General features: G+C 42.1%; 1 protein-coding gene across 3 annotated transcripts in view; it reads left to right on the top strand.

The window, feature by feature from the left end:
- Window positions 1–12,878, top strand: part of ETFA (electron transfer flavoprotein subunit alpha) — a 96,117-nt gene extending 83,239 nt beyond the window's left edge. For 2 of the 3 annotated variants that reach the window (NM_001127716.2, NM_000126.4), the window contains 2 exons: window positions 2,302–2,382; window positions 11,634–12,878. In NM_001127716.2, the coding sequence (NP_001121188.1) occupies window positions 2,302–2,382; window positions 11,634–11,672 (120 nt within the window). In that variant the 3' untranslated portion in view covers window positions 11,673–12,878. Of the gene's footprint in view, window positions 1–364; window positions 519–2,301; window positions 2,383–11,633 lie in introns of those variants that run through there. The other variant, XR_007064434.1, reaches the window with a different exon arrangement.

The following is a 16,657-nucleotide window of genomic DNA, read 5'->3' as shown; positions in this document are numbered from 1 at the left end:
TGAGCAACACAATGAGACCCTGTCTCAAAGTAATAATGATAATAACAATTGTTATATAGTATAATGAAAAAGCTTTCGGATGATTAAACTCCCAGATGTCTGACTAAGTGGCCTCTAGAAGAATAATTTACCATCAATAACTAAACAAATCTCTGCTTATCGCCGTGAAGCAGGTTACACATTCCCAAAAGAGAAACACGCCAATGCAAATCAACACCTGCAATTCAGAATGTTTGTTCTTGTGCCTTTGGATTTGAGGCTCACGTTTGAAACTTGTTTATTGTCTCTGACTATGCATCTTAATGTGTGTAGCATGTTTCTCTGGATTAGCAGTTACCTGGACTATACCATGTTCCAATCTTAGACATTCTGGCATCTTCTGCACATCTCTCTGAGGAACCCCTCTAAGGGAAATACACAGATGTTGGATATCCTGTAGCCTGTATTTTAAGTCAGGCTACATCAAAATACTTAATGTATTTTTTAATACCAGCTGTTTTCACAACATACAATGCCAGGTAGGTAGAAACTTAATTTTACTTCTAGAGATTTGAATTATTTTTAGTCCACAATCTATTAAAATAATACTACATTAGAGTCTAACTGCAGTGGTGTTAGAAGCATCTGTGGGGAATACCAAACTATTTGTACTGATAAACTATCTGATATTAATAAAAGAATGATTTGAATGATAGCTTTTCCTTTTTTTTTTTTTGAGACAGAGTCTCACTCTGTCACCCATGCTAACATACGGTGCACAATCTTGGCTCACTGCAACCTCCACCTCCCAGAGTTGAGCGATTCTCCTGTCTGAGCCTCCCAAACAGCTGGGAGTACAGGTGCGCACCACCACACCTGGCTAATTTTTGTGTGTTTAGTAGAGGTGGGGTTTCACCATATTGGCCAGGCTGGTCTCGAACTCCTGACCTCAAGTGATCCGCCTGCCTCAGCCTCTCAAAGTGCTGGGATTACAGGCATAAGCTTTTATTTTTTATTGTAGAGATGGGGTCTCCCTGTGTTGCGCAGGCTGGTCTTGAACGCCTGGGCTGAAGTGATCCTCCCACTTCCACCTCCCAAAGTGCTGGGATTATAGGTATGAGTTACCATGCCTGGCCTGCATTTAAGAATATTTTTATAGCAAATAAGAGAAATGTTTGACAGCTTTTATAAGAGATATAAGTAATTTGCTTCTTTTATTAATCTATTTGCTATGTACATAAGGACTTAAAGCTGTTTAACGTCCCTTACTAACAGGCTGACAAGATACTTTAGCTTTCATATTGTTAGAATATCCCAGAATAATTGTTTTATTTTATTCTATTGTATTTTATTTTATTTATTTATTTATTTTTGAGACGGAGTCTCACTCTGTCGCCCAGGCTGGAATGCAGTGGCGCGATCTCGGCTCACTGCAACCTCCGCCTCCTGGGTTCACGCCATTCTCCTGCCTCAGCCTCCCGAGTAGCTTGGACTACAGATGCCCGCCACCACGCCCGGCTAATTTTTTGTGTTTTTTAGTAGAGACGGGGTTTCACCGTGTTAGCCAGGATGGTCTTGATCTCCTGACCTTGTGATCTGCCCACCTCGGCCTCTCAAAGTGCTGGGATTACAGGCGTGAGCCACCGTGCCCGGCCTATTTATTTATTTTTATTTTTGTTGAGACAGAGTCTCACTGCTGGAGTGCAGTGGCGTGATCTCTGCTCACTGCAACCTCTGCCTCCCAGGTTCAAGTGAGTCTCCTGCCTCAGTCTCCCAAGTAGTTGGGATTACAGGCACATGCCACCATGCCTGGCTAATGTTTGTATTTTTAGTAGAGACAGGTTTTACCCTGTTGGCCAGGCTAGTCTCGAACTCCTGACCTCAGGTGATTCACCCGTCTTGGCCTCCCAAAGTGCTGGGATTACAGGTATGAGCCACTGTGCCTGTCCTCCAGAATAATAATTTTAAAATAATAAATGAAGGACAAAATAATTTGCACTACAAAGGCTGTGGATTTGGGTATAGATTTGTTACTTTTTCACCTAAAATCAAATATTTTTTTTGTAAGTCAAAAGAAGAACTTTTAAAAAATAATGATTTTAAACTCTTTAATACTGAGATGGGCTAGATGTGGGTAAGAGAGAATTTTATTACATTCCAACCTGGAAATTTCTAATAAATTTACAGTGTTGACACAGATGCCTCAAATCTTATTTGGTAGACATTTTAAGAATATTAATATATTGGAAGTTAAAATAGAACTATCAGTCTGTGTGAAATGTTTTCTTGGTAAAAGTCAAACTCTTTGTTTTTATTTCACAGACAATTGTGGCAATTAATAAAGACCCAGAAGCTCCAATTTTCCAAGTGGCAGATTATGGAATAGTTGCAGATTTATTTAAGGTAAGCTGGCCTTGAGAGAAATTGCTATTATCTAGATTGTCATCCGAGAAACTCTCAGAAATGGTTAGGGATGAAGCTATTAAAAGAAAACATTGTGTGTTTGTGTGTCTGTGTTTGTATGTATACTGTTAATATATGTACACAATTTTGACCTACTTAAAGTTAAGTTGCTCTAAGAGTAGATATGTGTTGTTTATATAGAGCATTATAACTTTCCTTTTAAGAAAGAGTCCAAATTGTCTTTAAAATATCCACATGGCGGCCGGGCGTGGTGGCTCACACCTGTAATCCCAGCACTTTGGGAGGCGGAGGCGGGCGGATCATGAGGTCAGGAGATCGAGACCATCCTGGCTAACACAGTGAAACCCCGTCTCTACTAAAAAATACAAAAAATTAGCTGGGCGTGGTGGCAGGCGCCTGTAGTCCCAGCTACTCGGGAGGCTGAGGCAGGAGAATAGTGTGAACCCAGGAGGCGGAGCTTGCAGTGAGCAGAGATCGTGCCACTACACTCCAGCCTGGGTGACAGAGTGAGAGACTCTGTCTCAAAAACAAAACAAAACAAAAAAAACCCACATGGTTTTTGGCATCTCATGTGCTAAGTTAATGCACAATGTGAAGTGATTCAAGTAATTTATAACCTGGAATCATATTTGGCAGGTACCCTAAAGAAATTAACATCAAACCCCCTTATTCAGGGATTTGCCAAGAATGCTAGAGCTTTTCAGGGGAGAGTAGGCACCCATATCCAGCTTATCTGTCTCAATAGGAATGCTCTGCTTGCTGTGTTTGTGGGTTAATGGCCTTCCTTAGCTGACGAGTGTAGGGAGAGCACTTATTTCTCACTCCTCACACTCTTCACTTTTGAGTGTTCCTTCTCTCTTGCCGTCACCTCCATATTTGACCTTCCCATGAGAAAAATTACTTTCATGATATTAATTAGTGAATTACAGGTGATGAGCACCTGATACTCATTTGGCTACATTTAAAGGTCATGACTCATGCGTGGCCTGGTCTCTTCTTTTTCCTGGGTCTGCCTACACGTTTCTAGGTTATCTTATGCAGAAATCACTTATGCAGGAATTGACACTCTGAAAATAGCATCCAACCCTAGGAGAAGTGGGTTTGCTGGGGTGAGGAACCCCTCATGTAGAACCACAGCGAGGGGCTATGGGCCTTAGTGGAGAGGCTTCAGCCTGAGAACAGAGCTACAGGTGGTTCCCTCAGCAAGAGGACTGGCCCATTTCTGTGACTTCACCAGCACTGCATATGATCTAGAGGAACCTAGTGAGTGTGCTTGGAGAGTACATTTGTACTTTGAAGTATGTTCATGCTCAGTGAAGGATGGAAATAGGACCCTTGAGCCGATTACTCCGTGATGGCTCAGACTGCATGCAAAGACTAGGATGGGGCTCTTGCTCTGGCTCAGTGTTGGGCATACTTCCCCTCAGAAGGCCCCCGCCAAAGAGCTTAGATTTTGGCTTGGGAAAAACATTACCCCTCTTCAGTAACCCTGAAGCTCTGTATTTGGTATTTGGGATTCAGGTAGGTCAGCTGCTCATGTTGCCTGGCCCAAGTGTGTAAGAACAAACAGTAATGCCAGTCATTTTCCCACTAAGATGTTCCAGTGGGAAGGGGGGCTGGTATGAAAAAGAGAATTTTTTTTTCTCTGTGTAATGATAACTTTGTTCACGTAGTAAGAATTCAGTTCTTACTATTGGTGTGAATAGGGGGTAAATATTATTTTTATTTAAAAGCAAAATTAAATACTTTCTGAACCTCATCCATGTTTGCAAGTAGATGTCTACTGTGGTTGCCTTTTTTCCTCAAGAGAATATTTTAATAAACTTGTAAGTAATTTTGTTACATTTTTCTGTCTGCCTGTGTACTATGTATTAAAACTCACATGGGGGCTTTCATGATAAAAAGATAAACTGTTAAGCAGTTGGAAATTTTCAGTGTTCTTCCAGTGGACACCTGCCTTGGGGCAGGAGCTTCTTTGTAGTCATTATTGATAGAATGGGGTCACACACATTGTGCTCCTGCATTAAGGGCAGCTCCAAGGTTTGGCATGAGACTATGCATGTGTGTGGACACGGAGGTTTCTCAGTGAGAAAGAGTCCTAAGACAGTGAAGTGGAACGAGGCCTTAAAAATCATCTAGTCAGCTGACTTCCAGTTTCAGGTTCTCAGGCTCCTTTTGGTATTTTAGGAAGCCCACATTGGACTAGAGAGAGACTTCAGACCAAGATATCATGTTTATGTTCTTTTAGCTAGAATTGTGTTAAGGCAATGACTATCTCCTACAGCTTAGAAGTTCTGAAGTACATGGCCAGGAGCGGTGGCTCACACCTGCAATCCCAGCACTTTGGGAGGCCGAGGCGGGTGGATCACCCGAGCTCAGGAGTTTGAGACCAGCCTGGGCAAGATGGTGAAACCCTGTCTCTACTAAAACTGTGAAAAACACATTAGCCGAGCATGGTGATGCATGCCTGTAATCCCAGCTACTTGAGAGGCTGGGGCACAAGAATCACTTGAGCCTGGGAGGCAGAGGTTACAGTGAGCCAAGATGGTGCCAGTGGACTCCAGCCTAGGCAACAGAGCAAGACTCTGTCTCAAAAAAAAAAAAAAAAAAAGTTCTGAAGTACAGTTATATATGTATTTGATTAATACAAAAGTAGAGAAGTTAATCACTCCTTAAAAAATGCAGTTTGGGAGGCCAGGCACAATGGCTTATGCCTGTAATCCCAGTACTTTGGAAGGCCGAGGAAAGGCGGATCACTTGAGTCCAGGAGTAGGAGACCAGCCTGAGCAACATGGTGAAACCCCATCTCTACAAAAAATACAAAAATTAGCTGGGTCTGGTGACGTGTGCCTGTGGTCCCAGCTACTTGGGAGACTGAGGTAGGAGGTTCACGTGGGCCCAGGAGATTGAGACTTCAGTGAGCCATGATTACACCACTGCACTTCAGCCTGGGCAGCAGAGTAAGACCCTGTCTCAAAAAAAAAAAAAATTCAGTTTGGGGGAAAAAAACTAAAGATTATAAAAATATTAAACATATGGCAGACTCCTCTTTGTTACCATGTGAGTAACACAAGCCAGGTGCATTCTTTTTAAGTTGCCTGTCCCAGAGAGATGTGATTTGGGACAATCCACAGGTTATGGGCACAACTAAGCCAGGGTCCTGCTTCTGTTCCCCTTCTCTCTCATTTCTCTGCCTCTCTGGCTCAGCAGGTACTACAGCTGGGTGGCTCACCACTACTATTGTACCTTGGATAAGGTGCAGTAAAAATCGCACCTTTGACAGACTCTAGGAACCTACAGAGTACGCATGAAGTTGTTTTCTCAGCTGAAATCAGAATGAGCTTATTGTAGGTGAATACTGTAGTAATTCTGACACAAGAGCACAGACAAAGTGGTTTGGTGAATATATTCCTTACTGGGGCGATCTCGTTTTTAAAAAATCAAATATTTAAAATATTTTAAAAATCAAATATTTAATACTTTTGATTAAAAAATAAAAAATACAATATTTGTATAATTATATTTCTTAATGTTATATATTTTATATTTTTAATATTTTATTTTTATTTTTTGTATTTTATGTATTGTAATTATATTTTAAAATTATAATTTTAAAAAATATATTTATATAACATTAAGAAACATATAAGGTAATATCTTTATATAACATTAAGAAATACAATTAATTATACAAATTATGGGTGAGAATTAATTAGCATTACCTATTTTGGCTTATGATCTAAAGAAAATAGAAGTCAAATAATAGCGTACAGAAAGGACTTTTTTAGCCTAATTTTTGTGTGAAAATTTTAAATTGCAAATTGTATCATGTATAACATGTATATACAGCTGTTAGACTAATAATTCCCTAGGTGATATTTTGCTCACCAAGTAGAACCGTATCTGGAGTAAAAATGAATATGCATAACATTTTATTCTCTTATATTAATTGTTTTGCTTGACCCTTCAACAATCATTAGTTATAAAGGACAAGTTTGTTTTTCCCTCAGAAATAATATGTTATAGTAATTAAGAGCTTTAATTCCAATTCTGCCTTGGCCACATACTAGTTAAATTATCTTGGCTAAGTTATTTAATCTCTGGACATCAGCTTGCTTGTAAGTAATGTAAATATTACACTACCTCTTTAAAGGTTGTAATGAAGATTAAATGAGATTATACTGTACCTAATACTAATAGAGTCTGTGACAAATATTAGCCTGCCTGTTCTGTCCAGGTACATAGTAGGTGCTGGTAAATATTATAATTGTAGTCACAGTGATAGGGCATAGGGCACCACCTGTTTTTTGTTTGTTTTAGTATAACAGCTTTACTGAGATATAATTCACGTACCATAAAACTCACCATTTAAAAATGTACAATTCAGTGGGTTTTAGTATTTTCACAGTTACACAACCACTATCACACATTTCATCATGCCAAAAAGAATTCCATACCTGTCAGCATTCACTCCCTGTTTTACATTCTGCATCTCCAGCCCCCAGCCCCAGCTCCTGGCAACCACTAATCTACTTTCTGTTTCTATACATTGGCCAGTCCTGGATGTTTCATATAAATTGAATTATGTAATATGTGATCTTTGTGATTGGCTTCTCTCAGTTAGCATAAGGTTTTCAAAGTTCATCCATGTTATAGCCTGTGTTAGTACTTTGTTTCTTTTTCTTGCCAAATAATATCCATTGTAGGGGTATGTAACATTTTGTTCATTCATTTATCATTTGATGGACATGTTGGGTTTTTCCCCTTTTTGGCTATTATGAATGATGCTGCTATGAACATTCACATATGAGGTTTTGTGCAGACCTATGTTTTCATTTCTTTTGGATGGATGTCTAGGAATGGAATTGCTGGGTCACCTGGTAACTCTGAGTTTAACATTTTGAATAACCGTCAGGTTGTTTTCAAAGTGGCTGCCCCCTTTTACATTCCCACCAAAAATTTGTGAGGGCTCCAGTTTTTCTATATACTCATTAATGTATGTTATTGTCTGTCTTTTTAAATATAGCCCTTCTAATGAGTGTGAGGTGGTATCTCATTGTGGTTTTGATTTGTATTTCCCTGATGGCAAATGACATTTAGTATCTTTTCATCTGCTTATTGGCCATTTGTATATTTTGTTTGGAGAAAGTTTATTTAGATCCTTTGTAATTTTTAAATCACATTATCTTTTTGTTCTTGAGTTGTTAGTGTTCTTTATATATTATGGATATAAGTCCCTTTTTGAATATTTGATTTGCAAATAGTTTCTCCCATTGTGTGGGTTGTCTTTTCACTTTCTTAATGGTGTCCTTTAAAGCATGAAAGTTTTAAATTTTGTCAATGCCTATGAAAAAGGGGGAGAAAAAGTTTTAAAATAAAGTTTTAAATTTTGATGAAATCCAGCTTACCAATTTTTTCTTTGTTGCTTATGCTTGAAGTCTCATATCTAAAAAACCATTGCCAGCCAGGCATGGTGACTCACACCTGTAATCCCAGCACTGGGAGGCCAAGGTGGGTGGATCACTCGATGTCACGAGTTCGAGACCAGCCTGGCCAACAAGGCGAAACCCCATCTCTACCAAAAAATACAAAAATTAGCTAGGCATGGTGGCACGCACCTATAGCCCCAGCTACTCGGGAGGCTGAGATGGAAGAATCATTTGAACTTGGGAGGAGGCAGAAGTTGCAGTGAGCCAAGATCATGCCACTGCACTCCAGCCTGGGCAAAAGAGAACCCATCTCAGAAAAAAAACAAAAAACAGAAACCCATTGCCTAATCTATAGTGTAGTGAACATTGGCCTACAAGTATCTGCTCAAGCCCCTGCTTTCAGTTCTTTTGGGTATATAACTAGGAGTAGAATTGCTGGATCATATGATAATTCTGTGTTTAGCTTTTTGAAGAACCTTCAAACTGCTTTCCATAGAAGTTGCATGATTTTACGTTTCCACCAGCAGTACACAAGGGTTCCAGTTTTTCCACATCCTCAGTAACACTTGTTATTTTCTGTTTTTTAATTCTAGTCATCCTAGTAGGTGTGAAGTGGTGTCTCATTGTGACTTTGATTTGCGTTTTCCTAATAACTAGTGATGTTAAGCACATAAGCATATGAAAAGATGTTCATTGGCCACTCGTATATCTCTTTTAGGGAAGTGTTTATCCACCTCTTTTGCCCATTTTCAGTTGGGCTGTTTCTCTTTTTGTTGACTTGTGTGAATTCTTTACATATTCTGGATACTAAACACTTATCAGAGATATGATTTCCAAACGTTTTCTCTCATTCTGTAGGTTAGCTTTTCACCTTCTTGAGAATATCCTTTGATGTGCAAGAGTTTTAGATTTTGATGAAGTCCAATTTATCTTTTTTTTTATTTTGTTGCTTGTGCTTTTGGCATCATATCTAAGAATCCATTGCCAAATATTGGGTCATGAAGATTCACCCCTGTTTTCTTATAAGAGTTTTATGGTTTTAGCTCATATATTTAGGTTGTTGATCCATTTTGAGTTAATTTTTGTATATGGTGTGAGGTAGGAGTCCAACTTCATTCTTTGGCATGTGATTATCCAGTTGTCCCAGCACCATCTATCTGTTCAAAGAGACTATTCTGTTCCCATTGAATGAACTTGGCAAACTACTTATCTTTCTAAACCTTCTTTTGTTTCCTCTTCTCCCCTGTAGTCACTACAATCTCTTTACTATCTCTGGAACCTGCAGTTGTTTATCTCTGTCTGTGCCTCATTTTTTGCCTAGAATCCTTTTCTTCTTTAGTTTGATGTTCTGAATTTTCCTAATCCACACTGATCTTCCTCAGAACTCCTGAATTTGGAGCTTTTAATGCTATTCTCTTCTCCTTCTCCTACATTCCAGTATAAGCTGAGGACACTTCTGATTGGGTGGTTCATAGGCCTCTCTGTCTATGCTTGCCAACTAGGAGGCAGAACTCCTCTGTCACTCCCACAGTGACAGAGAGCTTCTCTGTTTCCCTTAGTACTACCTGGAGGAAGTACTAAGTGAATGAGTGAAACATACTTGTACTGTGATTTATATCAGTAGGTTGTCTTTTTTTAAAAAAACTTAAGTGACTTTTATTGGGTCTTACTGAGTAGGGAGCTGCCTCTGCAATATCTAAAAGAGAACAGAAACAAGAATCCAGATCTTTCAGTGTGCTCAGGCCATCAGACACTCAATGAACCTGAGTTAGCATTTCCTTTTTCCTAAATAAGGCATCATGTGGTATGCTTTAAAGGTGTGCAGTTGGGCTGGGTGCAGTGGCTCACGCCTGTAATCCCAGCACTTTGGGAGCCTGAGGTGGGTGGATCACCTGAGGTCAGGAGGTTGAGACCAACTTGACCAACTTGGTGAAACCCCATCTCTACTAAAAATACAAAAAAAATTAGCCGGGTGTGGTGGTGAGTGCCTGTAATCACAGCTACTTGGGAGGCTGAGGCAGGAGAATTGCTTGAACCTGGGAGACGGAGCTTGCAGTGAGCTGAGACTGCGCCATTGCACTCCAGCCTGGGCAACAAGAGCAAAACTCTGTCTTGGAAAAGAAAAAAAAAGTGTGTGGTTGATCTAATAAAAAAAGACAGATGATAGAGAAAATCCTCTCAACCCTTTCATGGGGAGTGTGGTAAGGATATATTCGGTAAAATTTTAAAAAGTTATATATTCTAAACCAAATTAGTGTTTCACTTCGTGGTAAAAGTAGTTGGGCTTTATCTTATTTTTCATGAAATATACAGGTCCCGTGTGAAACTCAGTTAGCATGTCATCTGTGTGACTGGCATGAGCTCATGGTCTCTCCACTGAGGAAAGCTGGGAGAAGTGGTGCCAGCACTTAATGCCACCCCTGAGCAAATGCCTGCTGGCTCCATGGTAAACATGGGCCTTTTAATAGGCTGGAGACAGTGACATTCGGAAGAAACAACATGTCGACAATTTCCTTAATAAATTTTGTACGAACACATTATTTCCACCTAATGGAAATGTAGCTCTCTTAAATAATTGAGAGGCTGTATTCATCAGTGGTGAGTTCAGCTGGAATCTTTGTGAGCTAAGGCAGCCGAAAGCCCCTTGGAAGACTGGGTAATTGATACTTTGCACAAGTGGCTGGACCAGTTTTCAGAGTATCTGTGTGACATTCCCTGCAGCCCCCTTGGACAGCTCTCCTCTGTCCAAGCAGTCACAAAGCAGCTCTACACTGGAAGCTCCAGTTGCAGCCACTGCACTGCCACGACTAAGGGTTAGTAATTAATCCTTTTTAAAATGGGAGCCAACTCAGGCCATTTCCCCTTGCTGTGGTTTCTTACTGTGTCTGCTGACCGGCCACTGCATTAGCACACAAGGTCTTGATTTTAATAAAGAGTGATGATATTGAATGTTCAGCATGTAGCACATTTCTGTGTGCCAGATGATAGTAGCATGCTGCTGAAAAAGCAACCAATATGTTTGTGAAATGAACAATGAATGAATGAACGAACAGTGAGAGAACAAGTATAAAGGAGGTTGGCAGGAGTCATAATTGCAGTAAGCTAGAGACTTTGGTGTGGACTTGGAAGGAAAGTCAGGAATGCAGTTAAGGGTGGGAAGAATGCCAAGCAAAACATGAAGGTAAATACACAGTACTCTTCACCCAGACAAGAAAAATTGGGCTTCCTGTTTCTAGGGTGCCTTCTTGAAATTTGTGGTTGGGTCACAAAGCCAAAAGGTAGCAGTGTGTGCAGTGGTTCACGCCTGTAATCTCAACACTTTGGGAGGCTGAGGCAGGCAGATCACTTGAGCCCAGGAGTTCGAGACTAGCCTGGGCAACATGACGATACCCCATCTCTACAAGAATTAGACAGGTTGGTGGCTACTTGGGAGGCTGAGGTGGGAGGAGTGATTGACCCCAGGAGGTAGATGCTGCAGTGAGCCATAATTGTACCACTGCACTGCAGCCTGGGTGACAGAGTGAGAGCCTGTCTCAAAAAAAAAAAAAAAAAAAAAAAGGCAAAAGGCACCTAGGCAATGAGTGGGCTGTAAGCCCTGTCAGCCCTGGGTCCTGGGTAGTCGCCCTGGGTGGGAAGAGAGACTACCGGAGAACAGGGGGTTCCTGGTGGAGAGGAGGGGGCCCTCGTGCCTCAACAGTGATTTGTGTTGTTTCTTTTGGCCTCCCTGTAATGCTTACGGAGCTGTGACCATATCACAGTGAAGGCTCTAGTTGCTTAATTACTTTTTGTTTTTATTTGCAGGTAGTTCCTGAAATGACTGAGATATTGAAGAAAAAATGAATCAGGATCATGCCTTAAAAAGAAAACTTTTGTTAAAGTATTCCACTGAAATCACAGATATTTGTGGGTATTATAACAATCATTGGAAAGCATGGAGAGCTACATTTCATAATTTGAGGGAAAATTTCTAACAGATGCCAGAATGCTTGTTTATGGGATTGCTGTGTTTCCTTTTAATTATTTGTGGTTCCAAACAATTATTGTTTGAACTTTTTAAATTCTGTACTAAAATCTATAATAAAGCTTTTCCACAGCTTTAAAACTATCAGAAATATGCCTAGCCTCTAGAGAAAATTGAAGAAAAGGAGTAAAAATTTTGTTTATTTATTTATTTTTTTGCCTTTCTTGTTCATGGAGAGCTCTATGTTTTAGGAAGATTGTAAACATGATTGTCTCCACCAGCCTAATCAACCTACTAATCTCATTGTTGAAGGGCAAACTTCATAGGAGAAGGTAACTGAATTGGCAAGTGCAGAGTTAAAAAAGCACGGCTATAAAGCATGAATATTATCTTAAACATACTCCAGTCTTCAGAAGACCATAGCTAATGTGACAAAAGCAGACCTGACTTAAACCTGACCCAGCTCCATGTATTTAGTTGGCTTAAGGTAAATTTCATTTTCCGTTTAATTTTAAGGTTTTGTCAGTTTATAGGACTTTTGTCTGTAAAGGAGGGAGAGTGGAGGAGGGGCTGCTTTGAGACAGCATGGCCTCTGATGCAAGCAGATAGTTTGATGTTATTATAAACATTCAAAATCCTGTGCAGAGAATGCTCTAGCCTTTCTTTTGCCTTCTGTTGGCTTCTTTTGGGCTCTCTTAGGAAGCACCCAGGCCTGTGTAGTCACCTCTGGCACTCTCATTCTGCTGCCCAGGGCACAGCTGAGGTCCAAGAGTGTCACCAGGGCTGCAGCTGGTGTGGATGCAGGCCCAAGAGCAGAGGCTGGTGAGGCTTTGAACAGGCCTGCAGGAAGGCGTGGGTAGGTAGGTGAGTAGAACAAAGAGGGCTGCCCTCCTGAATCAGATCTGCAGAAGTAGGAGTAGTGACCTGGATCAAGCAGACAGTAGGGAAGAGAAGGGAAGTGATAAGTGATGGAGGTGGCTAGAGTGCCTTTGTGTGACCAGCCTGGGGCCCTTCCCCAGCTGACTAGTGAACCCTTTCTGATTTGTGTCACAATCAGTTGCTATAAAACACTTTTAAAAGTTGTATCTTTGGCATTTCAGTCTTCTTTTAATGAGATGAGAGGAGAGCAGTAGAATGATGCCTCTTTGCAAGTAATGTCTGTTAGAATAGAAGAATCCTAGAATGTCTGAGCCCGGTGATTATCTGGTCAGACCCCTTGTTGTATAGATGGGCATACTGAAGCACAGAGAAGTGAAGAAGGTAAAGTGACTTGGCCAAGGCCACATGGCTTGAATCACCTTTGGGAGAGTAATTCCTATGTCTTGTTTTTATCTGTGAGGTTCTTCCTAAGAGGGCTAACCTTGCTCAAGATTTTTTCCATTTACCCCTCATCCCTGTTGGATGCTATAACTGGGGGACAGGAGAGATGGCAAAGGTGATGGCCACAGAGGCACCCCCAGTAGAAGGTGTGCTGGCTCAGGGAGGGACATCCCAGGTGGTGCCTCGGCTCAGAGTTGAACTGGTTGGTCTTTCTCCCTTTGCTCCCTCCTGTCATGGCTGCCCTGCCTCAGCCCCAAGCAGCTGTTCACTGGACTAGTATTTACAGCTCATCATCATCATAGCATTAAGTATAATGCTTACTATATACCAGGCACTGTTCTAGCACTTTATACATATTAAACCCCTTCAGTTCTCACAGCACCCTGTAAGTTAGATGCTATTATTATCCCTCTTTTACAGATGGGGAAGCTGAGGCTCAAAGAGGTCATATAACTTGCCTTAATTCGGACAGCTTATAAATGAGAGTCAGGATTTGAAACCAGGCAGACTGGCTTCAGAGTGGTAACTTCACTAAGGACGTGATTCTCCCTCACCTCAGCTCAAGGGACAGTGCGACTGCACAGCAGCCTCAGGTAAAGAGCACTAAGTACTTCATGCTGGGTGGGAGGGGCACATTTAGGACCCTGGTTGAGAAGGAGGGATGGGTGTTCTGGAATAGTCCCTCCAGTGGGATTTTATTCAACTCAAAAAGTCCCTCTGAGTGCTCACTTAGAGCTTATCGTAAAAAGGCAGCCATGTGAGGTGGAGGCAAGTTGTTAAAACTATTATATATGCAAGAGGCACACATATATAATGTGCCCTTTTAATCTGTTTTTTTGGAAACCGAACAGTTCCTGTTGACTCTGCGCCTGTGTCCAGCCTTAGCACCCAGAGCAATAGCTCTGGAAACAGTATGGGGGAAAGGTGTTAGGGGTAGCTTTCTTTAATTCTTGCATATAGGTTTCCTGCCTTTTTCCCTAGTTTCTTTGAGGTCTTTGGTTAACCTCACACAGCCTCTGAGAATTTGGTGGCCTGGTTATTTTGGCAGAACACAGAGTCCCTGGGAGGACAGAAATAGGCATGTTAGAAAGGCAGCCCTCTGAGGGCAGAGCCAAACAGGTCCATGAGCTGAAGCTGATGGCCTCTTCACTTGCAGAAGGCCTCTTTACTTGCAGAAGGCCTGAGGCCTAGTAATGGCCCTGGGCCTAGCTTCTTAGTAGTTGAGAGGGGACAGCATCAGCTTTCCCCCAGGTCCCACTCGCTCTCAGCAATTCTGTGGGGACATGTTCCCTGCTGGGTTCTCTGGCTCACCAGCTGTGCTGTTTGGGATTCTGAAGAAAATACCTAGAAAAGTGTGTGGTCCAGCCATTGCCCCGAAGTAGCTTGTGGTCTTGACAGGGAGGGACGGTATCCTTCCAGACTCTGAGAGTACAGGCTGTTGGAGCCACAGCCCCCGCCCTGAAGGATTTTACAGCTACCAGGAAAGATGAGATGAGACATCAGTAAAAGCAGAAAGCAGGTCTCAGGATGGACAGCATATACAGAGAAGGCTCATCAGGAGGCTGGCATGGCCATTCCTCGCAGGCAGGGGAGCAGAAGTGGAAAATGATATCAGAGCTCAGGTGCATGAGGCAGTGAGGGGCAGAAACACTGGGGTCAGGGAGAGGAGTGAGGGTGGTAGGTAGTTGAGGCCAGATTGGAGAGGACATTGACTCACAGGCTGAGGAGGCCTTTTTCCTTAGAGATCAATGGTTCTCAGACTTTGCCCTCAAGGAACACTGCCATTTCCACTGGACCAGTGATGGTACTGTGAAAGTTATACCATACAGGACTTTTCCTGATTTGCAGGAAAAATTTATCAACAGCAGTTTCCCAGTCTTAAGTCTTTCTTGCATACTTCTTTCTAAACCTTTGGTAGCTGCTACCCCTTGTCTTCTTAAGAATGTGAGCAGATTCCAAGGTGACTGGACAGTAGCAAGTGGATCTGAACAAAGAGCAGCAGCCACTGACCCACCACAGCTTTTGTTTTTGTCTTGGGACATATCAGGGATTTTGTTGAATATTTAAAATACTTTCTGCTAGTTGGTAATTGTTCCTTGTTTGTTAGAATTAGATATGTCAGTATATTAAGAATGTCCCATAAAAACTGTATGACTTACTACTGTGCCACCTGAACAAGTCTTAAGAAACACCGCTGGCAACAGGGAGCCATTTATAGTTTTTGAGGAAGGCCTATAACTTGGTGGTGTATGCAGGACAGAGGGAGGGAGGAGAAGATGGAAGCCATTAGGGGCTGAATCCTCTGGCTCCAGATGGATTTGGCTGGGGATGGGCTCCTGGAGATTGTGAAAATGGGTCCAGTGCTGTGGGCAAGGCTGGCAGAGGGCAGGGCTCTTCCTCCCAGGATAGCAGTGGGAGCCCTGCTGCCTCCAGAGCCTGAGCATGTCTGCTGGGCTGGAGGGCTGGAAACCCCAGCCCTAGGTGCACTTTCTGCTCTCTTTCTGAAAGGGAGGGTCAGCCTGATTGCATTTCACGCTGTCTTTCACTAAGGGTTTTTGTTTGAGTTTACATAAAAGTGGGCTGAAGAGGCTGGGAAACCCAGAGAACACCATTGAATGTAGCAGATGGATTTGGTTAGCTGTTGCTGAGCTAAAGGAGGCTTGACTGATAACCTTGTGAAAAGTCCATGTAGGATGATACACTGCCATAATTTCTTACAGCTCTGGTGTTTTTAAAAAATCTTTGTGGGGAGCAAATGAAGGAAGAGTTGCTTTTAATCCTTGGCTTATAAAGCACTTTCATGTATGTCACCCCATCAGTTGGGGAAAGAGTAGAAAACATGCAAGAAATCAGACTCTCAGGAGAGGAGGCAGTTTGCCCCAGGTCACAACACATGTGATAGAACTGGAACACAAACAGAACTTTGGACAAATACTACTTATTAAGAACTCCCTGTGTGTTGGGTACATTATATACCCTTCTAATACAGGCTCCTCTAAAGTGTATATCATTACGCCTACCTTCTGGATGAAGAAATGAGCATAGAGATGACCAGAGGCAGTTGGTGAGATGTGGGACCTGAACTGGACTCCAGGTCTGGAAAACTTGGCCTGTCCACTAGACTGTGGTCCTCCCATTCTCTCCAGGACTATATCCTCTGGTTTGCATTGCTTCAAAACAGCAGGCTTGCCATTAGAAGCAAGGAACACCGATGGAATTAGGGATTTTCTGTGAAGTAAGCTGGCATTTACTTCCTGTGGCATTGGGACTGGTGAGAGGGAGGCCCTGGGGTGGCTTTATCTGCGTGGCCTTTGCCTTCTTCATCTCCTGCAACTAACTGGGCATGTGGTTAAAGACAGGTGAGTGCTTTCTTTTTGTGTGCTCACCTCCAGCTGTGTTTCCTTCCCAGCGTGGGCTGCATAGGGGACATTTGGGTCTGGGACCTGGAGACCACTGGGTGGACTGGTCAACAGGAGCCTTGGGTTCTCATCCTGTTCCTGTTACTGCCCCAGAGGCACCCTGGTCACCTTCCCTCCTTTCAGGT

The sequence above is a fragment of the Homo sapiens genome, chromosome 15, assembly GCF_000001405.40.
Source record: "Homo sapiens chromosome 15, GRCh38.p14 Primary Assembly".
Lineage (NCBI taxonomy): Eukaryota > Metazoa > Chordata > Mammalia > Primates > Hominidae > Homo > Homo sapiens.
The sequence above is the reverse complement of the archived record's forward strand: the minus strand, read 5'-3'. Positions and strand labels throughout refer to the sequence as shown.